Here is a 23,500-nt window from a genome sequence, read left to right on the forward strand (position 1 = left end):
ACTATTGAAGCTACCACTTATTTGGGAAATCATCCCAGGAAACACAAGTGCAGAAATAGTGAATCACAGAAGGGGGAAAGCCAGTTGTGTGAGGAATGGCACAAAGAGGTCATTAATGAGTCACCATATGGACAACTCGGCTTGTCCCACCCAGGACACTGTAAGAAACTATATGAAATTGTGGAATATATGTCAGAATCTTCCTAAGGGCTGGGGACCCTTGTACATTTATCAACACCTCCCATCCTCTTTTGCTTAAATCGGTTGAAGGTTGCCCCTGGGAATGTTAGTTCTGCTGTACTTCAAGGTTGGGTTGTGCATCTGCAGAAAAAAAAGCAAATATCACTGGTGTTAGAGAAAGCGGAGGAGGAGAGACACAAATAACTGAGGTCAGACATTGTTATCCTTGAAGGAAACTGTGTTCCTCCACTATTGGCAAATTGTAATAGGCCAAGAGAATATGGAATGGGGCATCAACCGCATCTGTTCTAAGGGCTCTGCTTCTGAGAATATAATCAATGCCTTTCAAGGTCCCTCTGCCCTCCCTGCACCACATTCATTTAGCATTAGTGACCTCTTGTGTTCCAATACATGTCTGTATAGCATGGCCCTGCAGCCTCACCACATGGACTGGGTCTGGGATGGACACCTGACCCAGGCTAGGGCAGAGGACCTTCAAGTGACATGTGACTAGCTACACCTGTAGCAGGTGTGCATGGGAGTTGTGGGAAGAACTCTTCCACTCACATTATGGTCCAAAAGAGGAGAAGAAGTTGAACTGCAGAAACAGAACACCAAAGAACATGTGCAGAGAGGAAACTTGAAGATGGAAGCAGTTTGGGCAATTTTCTCATCTTTTTTTCCCTTGAGGTCCCAGTATCATTCTAGCATGTTCTGGGCAATTTGTTCTCTTGAGACAAGGTAAATATATTGACTAATATTGTTGAAGTATGGAAAATTAGCAACTTGCACAACCATTGCACTATGCTCATTGATTCTGTGAGTCGGAATCTGGAATATGTAAGGGGCAAAGTAGGAATGGTTTTTCTCTTCAACAAAAAGTCTGGGCCTCCCCTGGAAGGACTCCATAGCTAGAGGTGACTCAAAAAAAGAGACATGCCCAAATTGCCGTCAAAAATTGAAACTCATTTGCAAAGCAAAAAGGGATCAGTGTTCAGTCTGGGTCCTGGTTTTCCCAGGGGTCCCATGTACACCAGATCCACAGAGAACCTTGCTGAAGTGACGCTTCCTCTGTGCTTATCCCTCCCATGACAGGGAATGATTGTGTCAGGCTGTCACTATCTAATGTGGCACACTCCAGTAGAACCTGGTGTATTAGTCTGTTTTCACACTGCTATGAATGACTGCCGGAGACTGGGTAATTTATAAAGGAAAGAGATATAATTGACTCACAGTTCTGCCTGGCTGGGGAGGCCTTAGGAAACTTACAATAATGGTGACAGGGGAAGCAAACATGTCCTTCTTCACATGATGGCAGGAAGGGTGAGTGCTGAGCAAAAGAGGAAAAAGCCCCTTATAAAACCATCAGATTTTGTGAGAACTCACTATCACAAGAAGAACAAGGAGGTAAACACTGCCAAGATTCCCAGCCCATGACACCTCACACTGGTTCCCTCCCATGACATGTGGGAATTATGGGAACTATCATTCCAGATGAGATTTGGGTGGGGATACAGCCAAACCATATCATTCCGCCCCTGGCCCCTCCCAAGTCTTATGTCCTCACATTTCAAAACACAATCATGCCTTTCCAACAGTCCCCCAAAATCTTAATTCATTCTAGCATTAACCTAAAGTCCAAGTCCAAAGTCTCATCTGAGGTAAGGTAAGTCCCTTTCCCTTATGAACCTGAAAAATCAAAAGCAGATTAGTTACTTCCTAGATACAATGTGGGTGCAGGCATTGGGTGAATACACCCATTCCAAATGGGAGAAACTGGCCAAAACAAAAGGGCTATGGGCCCCATACAAGATCAAAATCCAATAGGACAGTCATTAAACTTTAAATTCCCAAAATAATCTCTTTTGACTCCATGTCTCACATCCAGGTCACACTGAGGTAAGAGGTAGGCTCCCATGGCCTTAGGCAGCTCCACCCCTATGGCTTTGCAGGATACAGCCCCCCTCCCAGCTGCTTTCACAGGCTGGCATTGAGTGTCTGCTGCTTTTCCAGGTGCAAAGTACAAGCTGTCAGTGGATTACCATTCTGGAATCTGGAGGATGATGGCCCTCTTTTCATAGCTCCACTGGGCAGTGCCCCAGTGGGGCCTCTGTGTGGGGGCTCTAACCCCACATTTCTGTTCCAAACTGCCCTCGCAGAGGTTCTCCATGAGGGCTCTGCTCCTGCAGCAAACTTCTGCCTGGACATCCAGCTGTTTCCATACATCCTCTGAAATCTTGGCAGAGGTTCCCAAACCTCAATTCTTGACTTCTGTGTACCTGCAGACCCAACACTATGTGAAAGCCACCAAGGCTTGGCACTCGTACCCTCAGAAGCAACAGTCTGAGCTATACATTGGCCTCTCTTAGCCATAGCTGGAGCTGAATCAGCTGGAACTGAGGGCACCAAATCCCTAGGCTGCACAGAGCACTGGGGGACCCTGGCCCCAGCCTAGGAAACCATTTTTTCTCCCAGACCTCTGGATCTGTGATGGAAGGGTCTACCAGGAAAACCTCTGACAGGCCCTAGGGGCATTTTCCCCATAGTCTTGGTGATTAACATTTGATTCCTTGTTACTTATGCAAATTTCTGCAGCCAGCTTGCCTTTCTCCTCAGAAAATGGATTTTTCTTTTTTATCAAATCATCAGGCTGCAAATTTTTCAAACTTTTATGCTCTGCTTCCTCCATCACTGTGAAGCCATTGCTAGTGTATTACTTGCAAGGTTTTGGATTGAAGTGAAAGGGAATTGTAGGCTTCCAGGCGAAGCATTTAGACATTTGAGGGGAATATTGACAATAGTTGCCACTTAGAAATTTCTTTCGCCAGATACCCCAAATCGTCACTCTGAAGTTCAAAGTTCCACAGAACTCTAGGGCAGGGACAAATGCCACCAGTCTTTTGTGCATAGCAAGAGTGACCTTTACTCCATTTCCCAACAAGTTCCTCATCTCTATCTGAGACTACCTCAGCCTAGACTTCATTGTCCATATCACTATCAGCATTTTGGTTAAAGCCATTCAACAAGTCTCTAGGAAGTTCCAAACTTTCTCACATTTTCCTGTCTTCTTCTGAGCCCTCCAAACTGTTCCAACCTCTGCCTGTTACCCAGTTTCAAAGTCACTTCCACATTTTCGGGTATCCTCATAACAGCACCCCACACTACTGGTACCAATATACTGTATTAGTCTGTTCTCATGCTAGTATGAAGGACTGGGTAATGTATAAAGGAAAGAGGTGTAATTAACTCACAGTACCATGGCTGGAAAGGCCTCAGGAAACTTACAATCATGGCAGAAGTGGAAGCAAACACGTCCTTCTTCACATGATGGCAGGAAGAAGAAGTGCTGAGCAAAAGGGGGGAAAGTCCCTTATAAAATCATCAGATATCCTGAGAACTCACTATTATGAGAACAGCATGGAGGTAACTGCTCCCATGATTGCCCCCATGCCAAACCATATCACCTGGTTTCTTGCTAAGCTACCTGATGAGCAATAAACCCTCTTGTTGCCTAGAACACACATATTTCCGAATGGCTCAGGTCAACTTTGGCAGAGGGTGAAACCTGGCTTAGCTGGATACTTCTGGCACAAGCTGCTTCAGAAGCCCTGGACATTATATCTTCAGATAAAAAAACTGAAGCCAGATCTTAGCCTGAGTTTTGTATACTTACAGTGTCCACTTCTGTTTATTCCAAAGAACAGTCCAGGCTTGGCTGGAATGATCCAATACTTCCTATGATTTTATCCTCATTAGCCACTCAACCTAGAATCCAATTTTAATTATACTCCAGAAGCATCAAGTGGTAGGTGAGGCTGCCGTTTCAGAAAGGGACAGTATAAGGGTCAGTCCAATTGAAAAAGCAGTTCTCAGGACTTGCTTTAGCTCATTCTCATCATAGAGCTTTCTCTGCAGAAGGAACCTACTGGGTCCTCCTTCCTGGTCCTTGAACTTCTGACCTAGAGTGGCTTAATCCTGCTGCCACCTCTCTCTCACACTCTGATGCCGAATGATTCCAGGAACTGGGCCATGCTCTGGTGGGAATGACCTTACCCTGAGCATGTCATTCATGCATTGAACAGCAGCTGAGAGCAGAGCTAAGGCTGATCCCTATAAGGAGAGAAGAATCACATCCTGCAGAAGTCAGTCTAGAAGAGCAGGTACTGTAGCCACAGCAAAGACACAGTTGATACCTGAATAACAATAATACAAGACAGGATATGGGAACAGCAAAAGATTTGGGTGTCAGAAGAGGCTGAGAACACTTCAGGCAGGAACATTCAGAGTTGTTCTTGGAGGAAGTAGGCACGAAGGCTGGGCAGGATTTCACGGGGCAGAGATGGAGCAAACAATTCAAGTGAAAGGCATGGCATGGGAAAGGGAGCGCTGGCCACAGGGAGTGCAACATTGTGATGCAAGGCCACTGTGGAGCCATTGCTAGCGTATTAACTGCAAAGTTTTGAATTGAATCAGAAGGTAATTGGAGGCCTCCAGACTAAGCATTTAGACACTTGAGGGACATATTCACAACTGAGCCTCGGGAAGATTATTCTGCAAGATATCTCTACAATGACAAGATTTAGTCTGTGGAAAAGGGATTTTTTTTTGGAGGGAAGAGGGTATGTGTGCCAGTGTGTATGTGTGTGTGTGTGGTCCTTGGACTCAACCCCACCACCTACTGGCAGAAAGTCAAGGCCAGCTAGAAAGTTTTGTTCACTTCTATCTTCTGTCCCTACCAGAATGCCACCTGCCTGAGGGAAAGGGTTTTTGATCATAACTCAGGATTCTCAGCACCTCTTATCCGATAGCTTTGGAATGAATGACAAGGCCTTCATAACAGCCACTGCAACTGCTGTCTCCTTTCCTTTGCTACCCCTCCCGCTCCAGCCATGCCTGCTTCCCCCAAGACCTTCCGTGCTCCAGGCCCAAACTCCAAAGCCAGCAACTTAGACAAGAGTCCTCTGGCTTTGGAAAGAGGGCGGCTTTTGTTTTCCTCCTCATGTTTCCTCCCCAGCAAAATCTCCCTCTACATAGAGAAGCCTCTCCTTGTGGATAGTAGCAAAGCCACCAACCTTGGGGACCAGCCTTGGGAATCTCAAGGCTTGAGAGAGAGAGAGAGAGGAAAGAAAAAGTATCTTGCTTTCGAACAAACAAAAAGGAAATAAAAAGACCCGATAATCTCAAAAGGTTACTTGCTGCTTGAAATTTTTGATTCGGTGTATTCTACCTAGTAACTGCTGAGAAATAAGGCTCGACACCATTGGCTGGTTCACTCACACCCGGCCAATCCTGGACTCTAAAATACTTAGGGAAATCTTGGGACACTGTGGAAGCCCAGAGAATCTGATCCCGGGTCCCACAACTTCACATATCGCGAGTAAGTGGGAGGCAAAGAAAATTCTTTTTCTCCTCTTTTGGGACAGTTTGTGACTAGTAGTGCCTGTGCCCCTGGAAAGGTTGGAGACTTGGGGGACGACTGGAGAATTGCCATTTGAGGACCAAAGGAGAAAAGAAACTACACGCTAATTCTAGAAGGTAGGAAAGGGAGGGTAGGCGCTACAGCTCCGGGGTGAAGGCGGTCGATGGAAGTAGCGGGATCCGCTGTGGACTTGAGAGGGGGTTCTGGGAGAGGGAAAGCCCACCGGTGGGGCGGCGCCTCCTCGCCTGGCTTTACCTCCGGTGGCCCGGCGTGGATCGCGGGGAGGAGGAAGTGAAGGGAGGAGGGTGTGATAGAATCCAGCGACAACTGAAGAAACCGGACTCTGGCCAGAGAAGTGAGCCGAGGAGGGCGGAAAAAGGCCCCCTTGATCTTGGCATTGATGGCTTACTTCATGGAATGTTTAAGGAATCCCTCTCTCAGGAGATACCTGAGCCTTCGGATGCAGGGGACTCTCTGAAGTTGGGGCACTGATGAGACCTACTTGAGTGACGGGAGAGGTTGGGCCCGACCAGCACTGAGGTGCCAAGACTCCTAGGCTGATTCTCCTCTGTAACCCTAGGCCTCCTGTCCCTGCCTGCTCTGGGTGCTCATGGAACCAGCTGCTGCCCTGCACTTCTCCCGGCCAGCCTCCCTCCTCCTCCTCCTCAGCCTGTGTGCACTGGTCTCAGGTAGGGATGTGTGCCACTTGCTGCTGTCACCTATCAGAAAGGATCATCAACCCTGTAGTCTGCAAAGGCAAAGAAAGAAGGACTGTGGAGTTGTTGACTTATCCTTTCATTCTGAACATGTTCACTGAATTTATACCAGCACTGTCCAAAAGAAACACAGTGAGGCACAAAGGCCAAGTGCATGTACAATTGCAAATTTTCCAAAAAAATTAAATTTTACTTTTTATTTAAGAAAGTAAAAAGAAACATGAAATAAATGTGTGTACTATATTTTGTTTCACCCCAAATAACCAAATATGAATATATAAATGCTTAGTCAACATTTTGAAATTTTAAATCTTCATAATCCTGTGCGTATTTTACACTTACAGTTCATTTCAGTTGGAACTAGCTAGTGGGTAGGTGCCCTATTGCACGGCTCAAGTTTACACTACACTCAGGCACAGCGCTAGATTGGGGAATGGAGGAAATTCTCCTCATGGGGCACAGGGTGGACAGAGGGTGCTCAGGGAGGGCTCCCCAGGGTTTCCTTCATGAACCAGAAGCAGATTTCATAGTTACTGCTCCCAGGGGTGCTGTTGACTAGCCACAGCTACTGGTCCCCAGAATTCTCAGCCCAAGGAGACCCTATGGCCGTGGAAAGAATATGTTTGTCCCTGGAATACCTGCTTCCTTTCCTGCCTTAGAGATGTGATGGCTGGTGTCTTTGTCTGATTCTGCCCCTTTGTTGAACAGCCCAGGTCACTGTCGTGGGGCCCACTGATCCCATCCTGGCCATGGTGGGAGAAAACACTACGTTACGATGCTGTCTGTCACCCGAGGAAAATGCTGAGGACATGGAGGTGCGGTGGTTCCAGTCTCAGTTCTCCCCTGCAGTGTTTGTGTATAAGGGTGGAAGAGAGAGAACAGAGGAGCAGAAGGAGGAGTACCGAGGGAGAACCACCTTTGTGAGCAAAGACAGCAGGGGCAGCGTGGCCCTGATCATACACAATGTCACAGCCGAGGATAACGGCATCTACCAGTGTTACTTCCAAGAAGGCAGGTCCTGCAATGAGGCCATCCTGCACCTTGTGGTGGCAGGTGCGTTGCTTCATTTTGCTTTGTTACTTTGGCACTGTGTGACTTTGGGTAAAGCTTCTCTTCTAAATTCCAGCCCATTGCAGACCAGCACAATCCTCTTTCCTGGATCCCCATTCCGCAGGGACACTCTCCCTATGAAAAGAAGATTCCAGGGAAAAATCCTTCCTCCTGCACAAGGGCCACCATGAGTGAGTTTGCCCTGCTAAGCCGTGGGCTTGACTTCTTGAGAAGCACATGCAGAACTCAGTTGAGGCCATGAGCCGGGGAAAATGGTGAATCTCGGAAGAGAAGTCCTATGCCTGCCTTAGCACTGAGCTGTGCACTTCTGAGAGTGAGAGGAGACACCATCAATAATTGTCTTGGGACAACTGGAATAAACAGTGACTGCCCAGAGAACTACGATATTTGAAATCTTATTTCTTGATGAATATTCATCCTGACTTCTTTCCTGAAATGCTGTTTGCAAAGAGAGTGACTTATATGTAAGTAGAGCGTTTTATTAAAGCAAGACTTAATACAGAAGCAATATTTTTTTTGAGACATAGTCTCGCTCTGCTGCCCAGGCTGGAGTGCATTGGCACGATCTCAGCTCACTGCAGTCTTCACCTCCCAGGTTCAAGCAATTCTCCCTGCCTCAGCCTCCTGAGTAGGTGGGATTATAGGCATGCATCACCACACCTGGCATATTTTGTATTTTTAGTAGAGACAGGGTTTTGCAATGTTAACTAGGCTGGTCTCAAACTCCTGACCTCATGTGACCCGCCCATCTCGACCTCCCAAAGTGCTACGATTACAGGCGTGAGCCACTGCACCTAGCCCAGAGGCAAAATTATATTCCTGCTGACTCCACAGAGAAAGTGTAAGAATTTAGCTGGCAGGGAATAGACAAGGTTTCAACATAGAAATACATTTGAACTGGAATTTCTAGGAGTTTGCTAAAATGACATTAAGTGATTACCTCAGTCTTGGGGTTAGTTTATTGTGCTTTAAAAGATATATTTGAGGACTGAAAAAGCCCTTCAGGTGCAGGATAATCTGTGGTGGCATTTCACTCCATCAGACCAGAGGAGGTGAGGACTAGGGAATTGGGTCCTTCCCAGGGGGCCTCAAATCATAACAGGTAGGAGACCCCATCTTTGCTACTCACAAAGGCAAACTTGCATGTGATTAAAACAGAATATCATGGAAGGAGGGTTTCTTGATCTTGTGTCATGGCTGTGTTTGTAGCAGCACTGCAGGGTTGGCCAGTTATGGTTTCTGCGTGGCAGGAATCTACTCCTCCCTCTCTGTAAAACTGACACTGGCCTGGCCTTTCCCACTCTGAATTGGGCTGCTTAGGACTTTTTGTTTGTTTGTTTATTGTATTCTCTATGTTAGGTTGGTTGGCCGGCTGATTTTGCCTTTAAATCTATTTTGTCATGCTTGCCTGTATTGAACCTCATGGAATGTTTTGAAGAACTTTGTTCTCCAATTTGCTGAGTTATTTTAATTCTTATTCCACTGAGCCTTTAAATGTACAAGTAGTTTTATCTCTTGATAAAAATTAAAATGAGCCTGGGCAACATGGCAAAACCCCATCTCTTTTAAAAATATATAAAAAAAATTAGCCAGGCATGGTGGCACATGCCTGTAGTCTTAGCTACTTGGGAGGCTGAGGTGGGAGGATCACCTGAACCCAGGAAGTTCAGGCTGTGGTGAACCACGGTCATGCCACTGCACTCCAGCCCAGGTAATAGAGTGAGACTGTGTCAAAAAATAATAATAATAATTAAATTGAGCCATAGCAATAGACTAAAGTTATTGGCTTAATTTCCTGTCTTTGCCATAATTTGAAGACTTTACAAAGGAATTACTCAGAAGAAGTTTGGATGTTCACACATGGCTTAAGGGTCTCCTAGGACCATGCAGCTCTTTCATACCTGGTATTCACTTTTATTGAAGATTCATTAAACATGGATTGTAGTTAGGGTAAGTCTAGATTCTTAGGATTTTTGGTGATGATCTCTGATATTGAAAAAGTGATATGGTTATCTTAATCCCAAGAGCATCCAGATCTTTCTAATAAATCGATGTTCTCAAAGCACTATAAGAAAATTGCCCACCTGGGCAACACTTTATCTCTACAATAAAATAAAATGTTAGCCAAGCATGGTGGAACATGCCTGTAATCCTAGCTAGTTGGGAGGCTAAAGCGGGAAGATCTCTTGAGCCCAGGACTACAGGGTACAGTGAGCTATGATTTTGCCACTGCACTCCAGCCTGGACAACAGAGCTAAAACCCTGTCTAAAAAACAAAAGAGACATTGCCTAAAAGACGGATCCTCTGGGAGGTAAACAGTATGAATTAGGGTTAGAGTTGGTTTTGCAGGCTACCATGTTGAGGCTCCTAAAAACCATCACCTCCTGTGGGTGGGAGAGAGCTGTGGTTATGTGAAGCCCTAAACTAAACAGAAAAGTAAATGTCTTTAGGTCAAATGGTTGCTTAGTATTCTGCCTGCCTGGCAGATTTTTGTCCTCCTTGTTATTCAAGAGCTTCTGGAAGCTGAGGTCTACTGAGAAGTCATCCTGGGACCAGAAAGTGAAATCCAAAACCTGCCTGTTTGAAGTGGGAGTTGACAAACCCACCTTAAGTGAGAAAATTAATCTGGCAGGATAAAATGAACAAGCATTTATAGCAGACACATAGATGCTTGGTGCTGTGATGGGGCCTGTAGGTGGACCACAAAGAAAAGGGTGCAATTGGATCCTTTCCTCTTAGAGAGCTCACAGTTTGTGTGGCCAATTGGTCTGCTGGTGTTCTCCAACATCAATGTTCTTTCTTCCTTACCCTCATCCTTTTCTTCTTCCTTCCTATTTCTTGCTTCCTACTTCCCTCTTTTTTTCCTTTACTTTCTCTCTTCACAGAAGAGATGCAATAGGCACTGAGACACTGCCTTTTGGCTGTGCCCTGGTATCTCTCCCCAGGACTGGACTCTGAGCCCGTCATTGAAATGAGAGACCACGAGGACGGGGGCATCCAGCTGGAGTGCATATCTGGAGGGTGGTACCCAAAGCCCCTCACAGTGTGGAGGGACCCCTACGGTGAGGTCGTGCCTGCCCTGAAGGAGGTCTCCACCCCTGACGCAGACAGCCTCTTCATGGTCACCACAGCTGTGATCATCAGAGACAAGTCTGTGAGGAACGTGTCCTGCTCTATCAATGACACCCTGCTCGGCCAGAAGAAAGAAAGTGTCATTTTTATTCCAGGTTAGTTCTCTGCTCTCTGAGACTCATTGAGTGCATGGGGGATCCTCAGCACACAGATGGAGCCCAGAGCGGGGATGGGGGCAGCAGTGTGGGTGGAATGAATGGTTCTGGGCCCTGAGGACCTGGAGGCTGCAGCTGATATGAAGCTTCTCTAACCCCTTTTCACAAAAGGAGAATCAAAGAGTCCCAAAACTCGGGAGTAGGAGCCTCTTCTCTGAGGGCGAACCTAGTCTTTTTTTTTTTTTTCCTGCAAGATCCTTATGATGCAGCAATTTTTAAACATTGAAAACAACCATGACACATGGAGGGAGGGTGGTGTGGATAGGTGACTCTCTACACTTGGTGTTCCTGTATGCTGCAGCCATCCCTTCCTGCCCAGGGGATTTCCCAAGGGACAGAGCTGGGGAAAATCCTTATTGATACACGCTCATAATTCATTCAACAAATGCTCAAGACACTGTTCTAGAAACCAAGGGTAAATCATTGAACAAAATATATCAAGATCTCCTCCCTCAAAAAGTGATTAAATAATTGACCATATACTCTATCAGATGGTTTGAACATCTGTAGGAAACATTAAGCATGGAGGGAATAAAGAGAGGCAGGGGCATGAGATATTGCAATTATTAACAGAATGGTCAGGGAAGAATTCACTGTAAAGATGGAATTGAGTCATTCTGTCTGATGGCAAGGAACCATCAGATGCTTAAAGACTGAGCAACCCAGCTACAGGAAGAGCATATGCAAAGGGCCTGGGGAAGGAACATCTCTGGCAGTTTCCAGGACCCTCAGGAGGTGATGCTGTTGTGGCTGAAATGGAGTGAGTGCAGGAAGTGAGAGGAGATGAATTCACAGAGGCAATGAAAACACATACATGGCATCGCAAGCCACAAAAAGACTGGTTTTTAGAGCGAGTGACTTGGAAAGCATTGGAAGGATTTGAGCTAAGAATTAACATGATCTCACTTGGGCTGGTCTGCTGAGAATGGACTACCAATGGTAAGGGCAGAATAAGAAGGAAGGCACTGCAGTATTCCAGGTATGAGTGGTGGTGGCTTGAGGCAGGGTGGCGGCTGTGCTGACTCAGCATAACGGGTTAGCTTTATGTACACTGGTCCTTCCTACCGTGACTCCAGATGTTTCTGCTTTGCTACCTCTGGGCCTTGGCCCTGGAAGCCACTGAGGTGTCAGCCAGGGCTGAGCCAGCATCACTTTCTCCATCCAAGTTTTCTGAGGGAGAAACTAATAGAGCAGGAGGCTGAGGAGCTCTTGAGATGTGCTGCTAGGGGCACTCTCACCTGGATGTTCTGTTTCAAACTAAGTGGACGTTTCTGGCTTCCTTTTCAGAATCCTTTATGCCCAGCAGGTCTCCATGTGTGGTGATCCTGCCTGTTATCATGATTATTCTGATGATACCCATTGCCATATGCATCTACTGGATCAACAATCTCCAAAAGGAAAAAAAAGATTCTGTCAGGGCAAAAGGAGCTTGAACAGGAAAGGAAAGAAACTGCACTAAAGGAACTGGAGAAAGAACATGTGGAAAAAGAGAAAGAACTTCAGATAAACAGTAAAAGAGGCCAGGTATGGTGGCTCATGGCTTGAATCCCAACACTGTGGGAGGCTGAGGCAGGCGGATTACTTGAGCCCAGGAGTTCGAGACCAACCTGGGCAATAAAGTGAGACCCTGTGTCTAATTAAAAAAAAAAAAAAAAAGTAAAAGAGTAGGAGGACAGTTCACCATTATAGAAAGAACACAGCTCTCCCAGGTACCAGCATACAGAAGAGAGAGGAAATGCACAGCAGCAGCAGCAAGGACTTGGAACTCTCATGTCCTTGGAATGAATCTCTCAGAGCTTTTGTTCTTTCATTCTGCCCGCATTGCACTCATTCACCTGGCTACATGAAGTACTAAATGGTTGAGCAAAAGCAAGTGTAACAATGTACTGGTACTACCCAGCCCCTGATCATATATCATTTCTGGTTTCTGACAGTGCCCTAGGCATGAGGGAAGGGAGATGTTGCTGTTCATAGAAAGGGCTGTTCCTGCTTTGCTTACTATAAACCCGACTTCTTTTAGTTCTTCTGTTAAAGACATGATTTTGTTTCTGTTTTTCAGAGCAACTTCTGAAGAATTGCATACGTTTAGCCTTTCCTGAACTACTCCATGTACAATTTGTGTTCTGCTCATTTAGCAGCATCTCATGACATTCAACCTCTGTCTGTCCCTTGCAGGATGGAGAAGAACATTCTTACATGCTGGTGAGTGCCTCTGATGCTCCCTCAGATCTCAGCTTTCTCCCGCTAGCCAGCTAACAGGACTCCTTAGAGGAGATGAGCAAGGGGCCCAGGGCTACACAGGGATAGCAGGGAATTGGGGTCAGTTCATCAACAGTGTCCCAGCAATGATGCATCATGGCTCTTCTGTCAGAGAATCCCAGCAGCTCTCAATCCACCGTGGTTTACATCCCAGGATCCTTTCTCTTTTGGAATAATTTAATACATGATTACCAGAGGTTTCCATATATAGTAGCCTCCCCAAGACTTATGCTTCAGTGGTTTTTGCTCTTTGATTCTGGATCAGTTTGAAAGAAGACAATGCTGTCTTAGCAATTTATATACTAGGAATGATGTAGACTGTGCATAGTTGAAGGCACATGTTGGCAAGAGGCTATAAAGGTTCCCAATCAGCTTGACAGAATGGTATACAAATAACTGGCCAGAAATGCCTTTCTGCTCTTAAGAGAACACCTATACTTTGTGTATATATAGCCTGCCAGGGGAGGGGGTTCGGGTGGGTGGGAGAGCACAGAACCCAATTGCCCACTCCCAATGGGCACTTCCCATCTTATGATTGAGCCCCTCTGCCCATAAGCACCACAGAATCCAAGCTTCACCAGATACCATGGCACACGGACCCTTCCTCTTTAGGTGAATTTCAAAATTGCCACTGTCAACTTGGGACCAAATAGCAAAATGTCACAACCAGACATATTAACTTGGGGAATGGAGGAAATCATTTTAACACAATAGAAAGGTAGACTAAATAAGTAAGAATAAATGTAGATGGGGGAGGCCGGCAGAATGCCCGGAGTCTGGAGCATTTCTTGCACTGACAGGAAATGTACCTAGGTAGGCACCTACATTTCCTGTACCTACCTATATGTTCTTTCCCCAGTTCTTTTAGCAGTTTCTTTCCTTTCCTATTCAAATCCCTTTTCCCTAGACAGAATCTTTTCTTCCTTTTGGAGTTTGTTGATCTAATAGGTATACAGAAGTCATACCTGCAGACATCAGACCCATGTTGTTGAAGCAAAACTGGATGGAAATAGTTCCTCCATACCTTTGCCTACAGACCCCTCAGGCAGTAGGTTTTCTTTTGGGGACATTTATTTTTCTCCTTTATCCTCGAAGGGTGCCCTCGTCAGTCATTTAAATCAGTTGTCATCTGGTAAAAGGAACACATAGGACCAACGAAGAAACCCTTTATCCTCCAGGACAGTGTGAAGGGAAAGACTCACCTTAGTTGATCCAATGGGGAGAGGAGGAGCAGGACATAAAGCCTCTGTGCTGGTTTGAGCCAAGTTGGAAAGTTTCTAACTAAAGAAAGTCCCAGAGATCATAGGTCTTGAATAGAAAAGGGAATAGATTTTAGAATGCTAAAATTGTGAATGATTAATTTGGGCTCATTCCCCAAATTCTCTGGATTTCATAAAGCCTCAGTTCTTCTCAACCTGAGGGTGCTGCTTACTGTCTCTGGAGAGACAGAAATGCAGCTTCAGAGGCCAGGATGGTGGCTCACACCTGTAATCCCAGCACTTTGGGAGGCAGAGGTGGGAGGATCAACTGAGGTTGGGCATTCGAGACCAGCCTGACCAACATGGAGAGAAACCCTGTTTCTACTAAAAATATAAAATTAGCCAGGCACGGTGGCACATACCTGTAACCCCAGCTCCTTGGGGGGCTGAGGCAGGAGAATCACTTGAACCCGGGAGACAGAGGTTGCGGTGAGCCGAGATTGCACCACTGCACTCAGGCCTGGCAACAAGAGCAAAGCTCAGTCTCAAAAAAAAAAAAAAGTGCATCTTCAGTAATTCTCGGGTATGAGCTGCCTGGGATCAGGGGGCCTTCGTGGAAATGGCCCCTACATGGGGATCCCGCTGCAGCTTTCTGAGACCTCTCAGGGCACCAGGAACCACACAGAGTTCCTGAGACTTCCTCTGCAGCCAATGTTGTCCTGGACCAAGACACTGGTCATCCCTATCTCTTCGTGTCAGAGGACAAAAGAAGTGTGACATTGGACCCCTCCAGGGAGAGCATTCCGGGCAACCCAGAGAGATTCGACAGTCAGCTTTGTGTCCTGGGCCAGGAGAGCTTCGCCTCAGGGAAACATTACTTGGAGGTAGATGTGGAAAATGTGATTGAGTGGACTGTGGGGATCTGTAGAGACAATGTTGAGAGGAAATGGGAGGTCCCACTACTTCCTCAGAATGGCTTCTGGACCTTGGAGATGCATAAAAGGAAATACTGGGCCCTGACCTCCCTTAAGTGGATTCTCTCTCTGGAGGAGCCCCTTTGCCAGGTGGGCATCTTCCTGGACTATGAAGCTGGAGACGTCTCCTTCTACAACATGAGGGACAGATCACACATCTACACATTTCCCCATTCAGCCTTTTCTGTGCCTGTGAGGCCCTTCTTCAGCTTAGGGTCTTATGACAGCCAAATCTTAATCTGCTCTGCATTCACAGGAGCCAGTGGGGTCACGGTGCCTGAAGAGGGCTGGACACTTCACAGAGCAGGGACCCACCACAGCCCACAGAATCAGTTCCCCAGTCTCACAGCCATGGAAACAAGCCCTGGCCATCTCAGCAGCCACTGCACAATGCCTCTGGTGGAAGACACGCCCTCCTCCCCTCTGGTCACACAAGAGAACATCTTCCAGCTGCCTCTTTCACACCCACTCCAGACCTCAGCCCCTGTTCACCTCCTCATTAGGTGTGGCTTTAGTAGTTCCTTTGGTTGTAACTATGGGATGGAATCCAGGCATAGGGAACTAGTTGTTCCACAGCTCCCAGCCAGGAAGAAAGTGTGAGAAGCTGATTGGTAGTGAACCTGCTGTTTAACATCACAGTGACTACATTGAACCCAGTATGCCAGTTGGCACCAGATGCTGTGGACTTGGAATGAGGCCAAGAGGAGTCGCCAGGATGTGAGAGGAGAGAGGAATCCACAGGACCACCAGAGGGTGAGTGAACCAGATATGCAGGTCAGAGATAGACGAAGTGGAACCAGAGAGCTGGGAGGGACCAAGGTTGTAAGGGTGCTTAAGCCCCACCATAACAGCTAAGGAGTCCCAGGAGATGATGGCTCATTTCCACCCAACCCCAGGATTTCCACAGCACACACCCACAGGCCTGGACCTGGGACGAAGATGAATGAAGAATATGGACATGTGGATGTGGTTTGGCTCACGTGTCCCTGCAATAAACAAGGAGTCAGTACTCAGTCCTTGGGTGTGGTTGAGGCTTGAGGTCCTGATTGAGCAAGGCAGTACTGGACAAGGTCTACATCAGCATTCAAGTTCAATGGGGGGCACTAGTGGCTTCAAACTTCCTGGTCTAATTATGTCTTTAGACACTTAATAACTACTGAGGGCCTTGAGGAGCTCTTGTTTATTTGGGTTGATATTTGTTAATATTTATGGCATTTGACATTAAAACAGAAAATGTTAAAATGTTATTTACTAATTCATGTTAAAATATAATGAATGAACCAAATGTAGGTTAATATAAATAGAATGCTTTCTGAAAAATCAACTGTTGTGTCCAAACAAAAAAACAAGAAGTGTGACACTGGTTAACTTGTTTCAAATCTGATGTCTGGCTTAATGGAAGATGTTTGTATTCTCATATCTGCTTTTGTATTAAATCTGTTGGTATATCATACCCTACCAAGAGAATGAGATCAAAAACAACAAATGTTATATTATGATGATGATGATGATGAAAATAGTATTAAGATTGGGGACTCCTTAGGAGTATATCAGAGTTCTCCCTAGACATCCCCAGACCATGTTTGGAATAGTGGATCCTGGAAGTGAATCCATGAGCTGCTTAATTTTAGGTGTCAACTTGACTGGATTACGGAATACCTAGACAACTGGTATATTATTTCTGGATGTATTTGTGAGTGTGTTTCCAGAAGAGATTGACATGTGAGTCAGTGGGAAATTCTCCCCTCCTATTGGCTGGGGGCCCAATATAACAAAAAGGCAGAGGAAAGGCAAATTCTTCTCTCCCCTGAGACATTCTTCTTCTGCTGCTCTTGGACATCAGAACTGCTGGCTCTCGGGCCTTTGAACTTTGGGACTTGTACCAGGAAGCCCTGGGTTCTCAGGCCTTTCACTTTGGACTGAGATTTACACAATCGGCTTCCCTAGTTCTGAGGCTTTCAGACTTAAACTGAGCCATACTACCAGCATCCCAGGGTCTCCAGCCTACAGACGAGCTGTCATGGGATTTCTCAGCTTGCATAATCACATGAGCCAATTTCCCTAATAAACACCCGCTCATCATATGTATCTATATCTATATGGTATTGGTTTTGTTTCTCTGGAGAATTCTGACTAATACAATCAGGCATCTAAAATTCTGACTTGAATGGTAGTATTTTAGGTTTGAGACAATTCAATAATCCAACAGGAATGAAAAAAATTTAAATAGTCCAAAATTGTATTACTGCAGTTACAAAAAGGCACATTATTGAAAGAATCCAGAGTTGTTGCAGGAAGTCAGGGACCCCGAATGGAGGGACCAGCTGAAGCCATGGCAGAAAAACTTAAATTGTGAAAATTTCATGGACATTTATTAGTTCCCCAAATTAATACTTTTATAATTTCTTATGCCTGTCTTTACTGCAGTCTCTGAACATAAATTGTGAAGATTTCATAGACACTTATCACTTCCCCAATCAATACTCTTGTGATTTCCTATGCCTGTCTTTGCTTTAATCTCTTTATCCCTTTATCTTCATAAGCTGAGGATAAATGTCGCCTCAGGGCCCTGTGATGATTGCGTTAACTGCACAAATTGTTTAAACAATATGAAATCTGGGCACCTTGAAAAAAGAACAGGATAACAGCGATGTTCAGGGAACAAAGGAGATAACCTTAAGGTCTGGCTGCCTGTGGGCCGGGCAGAACAGAGCCATATTTTTCTTCTTTCAAAAGCAAATAGGAGAAATATTGCTGAATTCTTTTTCTCAGCAAGGAACATCCCTGAGAAAGAGAATGTGTTCCGAAGGGGAGGCCTCTGAAATGGCTGCTTTAGGAACGTCTGTCTTTTACAGTTGTAGATAAGGGATGAAAAAAGTCCCGGTCTCCCGTTGCGCTCCCAGGCTTATTAGGAAGAGGAAATTCCCTCCTAATAAATTTTGGTCAGACCGGTTGTCTGCTCTCAAACCCTGTCCCCTGATAAGATGTCATCAATGACAATGTGTGCCTGAAACTTCATTAGCAATTTTAATTTCACCCCGTCCTGTGATCTTGCCCTGCCTCCATTTGCCTTGTGATATTTTATTACCTTGTGAAGCATGTGATCTCTCTGACCCCCACCCTATTCATACACTCCCTCCCCTTTTGAAAATCACTAATAAAAACTTGCTGGTTTTGTGGCTTAGGGGGCATCACGGAACCTGCCAACATGTGATGTCTTCCCTGGACACCTAGCTTTAAAATTTCTCTCTTCGTACTCTTTCCCTTTATTTCTCAGACCAGGTGACACTTAAGGAAAATAGAAAAGAACCTATGAAGAATTATCGGGGGCGGGTTCCTCCGATACAGAGTGATTCTTTCAACCTCTGGGGTTGAGGGCCAGATCATATATGCCCCTGAAAGTCATCATGCTAACCTGGGCTTTACCTGTGAGAGGGGAGCCACTGGAAGGCTTGGCAGAAAAAAAAACTGGACTTACTTCAGATGCTAGACCAAGATGGGCTATGTGTAGGGGTGGTGGATGGAAGCCTGAAGACCCAGCTGGGAGCTACTGCAGTGATCCAGAGGGGAGATGCCGATGACTTGTACCAGGGAGGAGCCATGGAATGATCTGATGCTGGATTTATTTTCAAGACAGAGTAAAAAGGCTTTGCTGGTAAACCTAAATGTGCTGTGTGAAAAAGGAGGACATCAAGGATGACCATAAGGTTTTAATCCTAAGAAATGGTACAGATGGAGTTGCTACTTATGGAGATGAGGAAACTGAGGGAGAAGTCCATTTTGGAGGCCAGAGGAGGAGCCAGCATAGAATCCAAGGTCAGTTTTGGATACGTTCGGGTTGAGGAGCTTACTAGAGATCCCCGTGGAGATGCAGAGTAGGCAGGTCAATAATAAATGTGCATGCCAGGCACAGTGGCTCATATCTGTAATCTCAGCACATTGGGAAGCCGAGGCAGGTGGATCACCTGAGGTCAAGTGTTTGAGACCAGCCTGGCCAACATGGCGAAATCCCATCTCTACTAAAAATACAAAAATTAGATGGGTGCAGTGGCATGCGCCTGTAATCCCAACTACTCAGGAGGCTGAGATAGAAGAATCACTTGAACCTGGGAGGCGGAGGTTACAGTGAACCGAGATTGCACCACTGCACTCCAACCTGGGAGACAGAGTGAGACTCCATCTCAAAAAATAAGTAAATAAGTAAATAAATAAAATGATAGCAATAACAATTAATGTGCAGTCCAGGCAACAGGTCAGGGCTGGAAACACAAGTTATTCTTTCTGTATTCTGTATCTTCATGATTGTTGCCACTGCCTGTTTCAATTTAATGCATTAGTGATCTATTGCTGCTTAACAAATTACTGCAAACTTAGTGGTTCAAAACAGCAGACATTTGTCATTTTAGTTTCTCTGGGTCAGAAGTCCAGGCAGACCTTAGATGGCTTCTCTGCTCAGAACTTTACAAAGCAAAAGTCAAGGTGTTGGCCAGGCTGTATGTAGCCTCATCTTGTCTTGACTGTGGGAGAGTCCTCTTTTCAGATCACTCAGGTCATTAACAGAATTCATTTCTTTACAGTTGAAGGACTCCCTGCAGGCTGAAGCTGGAGGCTGCTCTAAGCTCCTACAGGCCACCTCAGCTCCTTGCTATGTGGGTCTCCAACGATGACTACTTTTGTCTTCAAAGCCAGCCAGGAAGACAGAGACTCTAGAGTGGGTCAGCTAGCAAGACAGAGTCTTACACTACATTATGTAGTCATGGAAGGGACATGCCATCAGCTTTACCATATTTTATTGGTTAGCAGTAAGCCATAGGTTCAGCTCACACTCAGGGAAAGTACAGGCTGCAAACTGCAAGAGGAGTAATCATAAGGGGTCCACTCCAGAGTCTGTAGGCTACACCATATACAAGCTCAAGGTTCTCCCACTGTAACTGCCCTGCTTCCCCTTTCCCAGGGCAATACACCACACTTGCCTTTCTCTAGGTCTCTACTTCCATGAAAGCAAAGTCTCAGAAAGAGAACACATGCATGGCCGTCAGGCACTGTTTGCCATGATGATGGCCACTGCTGTACCACACCATAAACATTGTTTTACAGTTACTAGTGGATTCCCAATCATTAAATCCATTATACATTTCTATTTTCCCCTCCCACCGCCATGCTTTTTTTTTTTTTTTTTTTAAGAGAGATAGGATCTTGCTCTGTCACCCCCCAGGCTAGAGGTCAGTGACGTGATCATAGCTGAGTGCGGCCTTGATCTCCTGGGCTCAAGTGATCCTCCTGCCTTAGCATCCCATAGTGCTGGGATTGTAGCTGTGAGACACTGGGCCTTGCTTGTCTTTATACACCTCTGTCCTTTCTTTATGGACAACCCTGAGTTCTTCATAGACCTGCCTGAGTAGGTGTTCCTGCCTATGTGGCATCTGCCTCATCAATCCCCAGGGCCCTCTTCTTGGTCTTTCCCTGCTCCTAGGGAGATCTTTCTCAGAATTCTTGCTCCACTTGCTCCAGAACTGCTGAAATTCCTTAGGCTTTGGTCCTGGGCTCTCATTTCACACCACATATACTCATATGGTCCAATCCATTTTCAGAGCAGACCCCCACTGGCACCTATCCCATAAGCAGACCCCCACTGGCACCTGTACTTCTGTCTCCAGCCCCACACATTCCCTGAACTCAGTGCCCACTAGGCATCTCACAATGAGTGTATCCAAAATAAAATTCCCATCAACCCTGCCTACCCATCATCATCTGAATGACTGACACCACCTAAGAGTCATTTTAGCCTTCTCTTGTTCTCTCTTAACCCACCACATCCGACTGATAGCCAAGCCCTGCTATTTGTACTTCCTTTCAATAGTCCAGCTTAGTGGTTTGATCAAAGACTCTGGAGTGAGACAGCCTGGGCTCAAGGCCCAGCTCAGAAAGAAACTACTTGTGTGACCTTGGGAAGTCATTTAACCTCCCTGGACCTCAGCTTTTACGTCTATAAAATGTGGGAAATAAGGTACCTCTTAGTGTTGTTGTGAATCTTGTTAATATATGTAAATCTCTAAGCACAATACTAGCATTGTAGCAGGTTCTATGTAAGTATTTCCTAGTATTAATGTGAGTAATCAATCAAGTCCCCTCTCCTCCATTGCCAAGCTGCCATCATTTCTTGCCTAGAGTGTCACAGTAGCTTCCTTTCTGGTCTCCCTATCTCCTAACGTGTGGCCCACCGGATGAGGATGGGATATATTGTGCAACCCCAGCAGGCATCATCCCATGGAATACAATGTAAAAGGTGCCCCCTACCTCCCATCTTCCCTGGCACCTGCCCCACTGCTATTTTCAGTGTACACATTTTCTCACGTCATACTTTTCAGATATTTTCCCTTCACCTTCACACTAAAACTCCAACTCACAGCAGGCAACTGTCGATGTTTTCTCCAGGGGAGGTGGATTTAGGAGTCATCAATGCAGGGATCAGAATTAAGCCTTTCAGAATGGAAGACAATGAAATTCATTTAGGGTTAATACATGCAGGTGCTGTGCTAACTCTTCCTTAAATAACTTATGGACCATGTCTCATTTCCACTATAGACAAAGAAACAGAAACATTGAGTGATTAGTTAACCAGCTTTGGGTTCCAGGGCTAATGAGTTGTGCATGACAACAGATGAAGATAGAAAAAAAAAAGCCTAGAGAGAGTAGATAGTAAGCCAGTGTGCCTGGGACATGCTGACAGATATCTAGATGTAGCATAAAGAAAATTTGTGTTCATGGGAGGTCCTAATGGCAGCAAGAGGTGAGATAACCATGAGAAATGGACATTTCTTGGTGAGACTAACTCGATAAAGGAGACAAATCTCTGGGCATTTTGCCACACCTACTGCATGCAGGACACTGCACTAGATCTTATAAAAGATAAAGAGAAGATAGCATCAAGTGCCTAGGTCTTGAAGGAGGGCTGAGTGCACTTTTCATTTAGCGTACATTCTTATGACTTACTTTTTTATCATACACTGTTGTAAGCAAACTGCATGTGTTGTCTCATTCCATGCTCACAGCAACAACTCTTAAAAGTCAAGTACTATTACTGTCATTATTTTACAGGTAGGGAAACTGGGGCACAAAGAAGTTAGAGAACTGGCCAAAGGTCACACAGGCCACCTGGCTTCAGAATTAGTGCTCTTATCCACTCTATTATGCAACCTCTCCTCACTAGTTTTGAACTTCAGTGGCTGAGACCTACTACATGGTAGGTTCTCAATAAAAATTTGTTGAATCACTGAATTCATTTCTGCCCCATTTCACATCCATTTCTTTCCCAAGACTTCTTTGTCAGAGTTCGGTATAAAGGACTGATGAGAAATGGACCCAGGGCCTCACACTTTGGAAACTACAAAGTTCAACGATACAAACTATTGGTCCCAGAAACTCCTAATCTGAAGCTTAGCACCTCAGCTGCTGTGTCAAAAATGACTTGGATCCTTCAGGCAAGGGTGGGGTGATCATTCTTACTGATATAATTTCAAGCAGCACAGCTTCTGATAGACTGTGAATTTAAAAATGAGCAAATGGGCTGGGCTCAGTGGCTCATGCCTGTAATCCCAGCACTTTGGGAGGCCGAAGCGGGCGTATCACCTGAGGTCAGGAGTTTGAGATCAGCCTGGGCAACACGGTGAAACCCAGTCTCTACTAAAAATACAAAATTAGCCGGGCATGGTGGCACATGCCTGCAATCCCAGCTACTCAGGAGGCTGAGGCAGGAGAATCGCTTGAACCTTCGGAGCCGGAGGATGCGGTGAGCCGAGATCGCACCATTGCACTCCAGCCTGGGCAACAAGAGTAAATCTCCATCTCACCAAAAAAAAAAAAAGAAAAAGAAAAGAAATAAAAATGAGCAAATGAACATTTAAATAAATAAGTATGATGGATAAATAGGGAATGAACAGTGGTATGGATTATAATAAAGTAAGAAAGTTTCGTAAAATATTAAGTATATCACTATAATCTACATGGTAGGCATATTGGTATTCACCAAAAATTCTTTCACCTTTGCTTTATGTTTTAGAAGTGTTATGGTAAACTGTTGGGAAGGAAAAGGGGGAGGGAAGAATTGTGGGATTCTGTTGGTAACAGAGACCAGAAATACCATTGGCTTAAACAAAACAAGGGTTTTCTTGTTTTTTCTTGATGTTGTTGTTTGTTTTCATGTAAAATGAATTTAGATGGCGGTAGTCCAGGGCTGACCTGGCAGCTCAGAGATGTCATTCATGCCCCAGCCTGCTTCTGACTTCATTCTCTGCTGTCTCTGCATGTGGCTTTCAACCTCAAGGTTGCCTCATGGTTCTAAGAGGGCTGCCGCACCTCTAGTTCAAAAGTCTACATCCAAGACAAGAGGAAGAA

The 23,500-nt window shown here is 45.5% G+C and overlaps 1 pseudogene across 1 annotated transcript, besides 1 other annotated feature; it reads left to right on the forward strand.

Annotated features, from left to right (window-relative positions):
- Positions 4,556-5,519: an enhancer, noted in NCBI's record as "H3K27ac-H3K4me1 hESC enhancer chr6:26420693-26421656 (GRCh37/hg19 assembly coordinates)". NCBI's record gives its function as "activates a minimal SCP1, AML or CMV promoter by ChIP-STARR-seq in naive H9 embryonic stem cells {active_cell/tissue: H9 hESC(naive)}" and the evidence as "EXISTENCE:reporter gene assay evidence [ECO:0000049][PMID:30033119]".
- BTN2A3P (butyrophilin subfamily 2 member A3, pseudogene) lies at positions 5,482-14,679 on the forward strand (annotated as a pseudogene). Its single transcript, NR_027795.1, has 7 exons — positions 5,482-5,715; positions 6,180-6,288; positions 7,024-7,850; positions 10,333-10,614; positions 11,962-12,198; positions 12,734-12,876; positions 14,029-14,679. The product of NR_027795.1 is annotated as a butyrophilin subfamily 2 member A3, pseudogene (transcript).
- Positions 14,680-23,500: the final 8,821 nt, after the last annotated feature.

This window comes from Homo sapiens, chromosome 6 (assembly GCF_000001405.40).
Source record: "Homo sapiens chromosome 6, GRCh38.p14 Primary Assembly".
Lineage (NCBI taxonomy): Eukaryota > Metazoa > Chordata > Mammalia > Primates > Hominidae > Homo > Homo sapiens.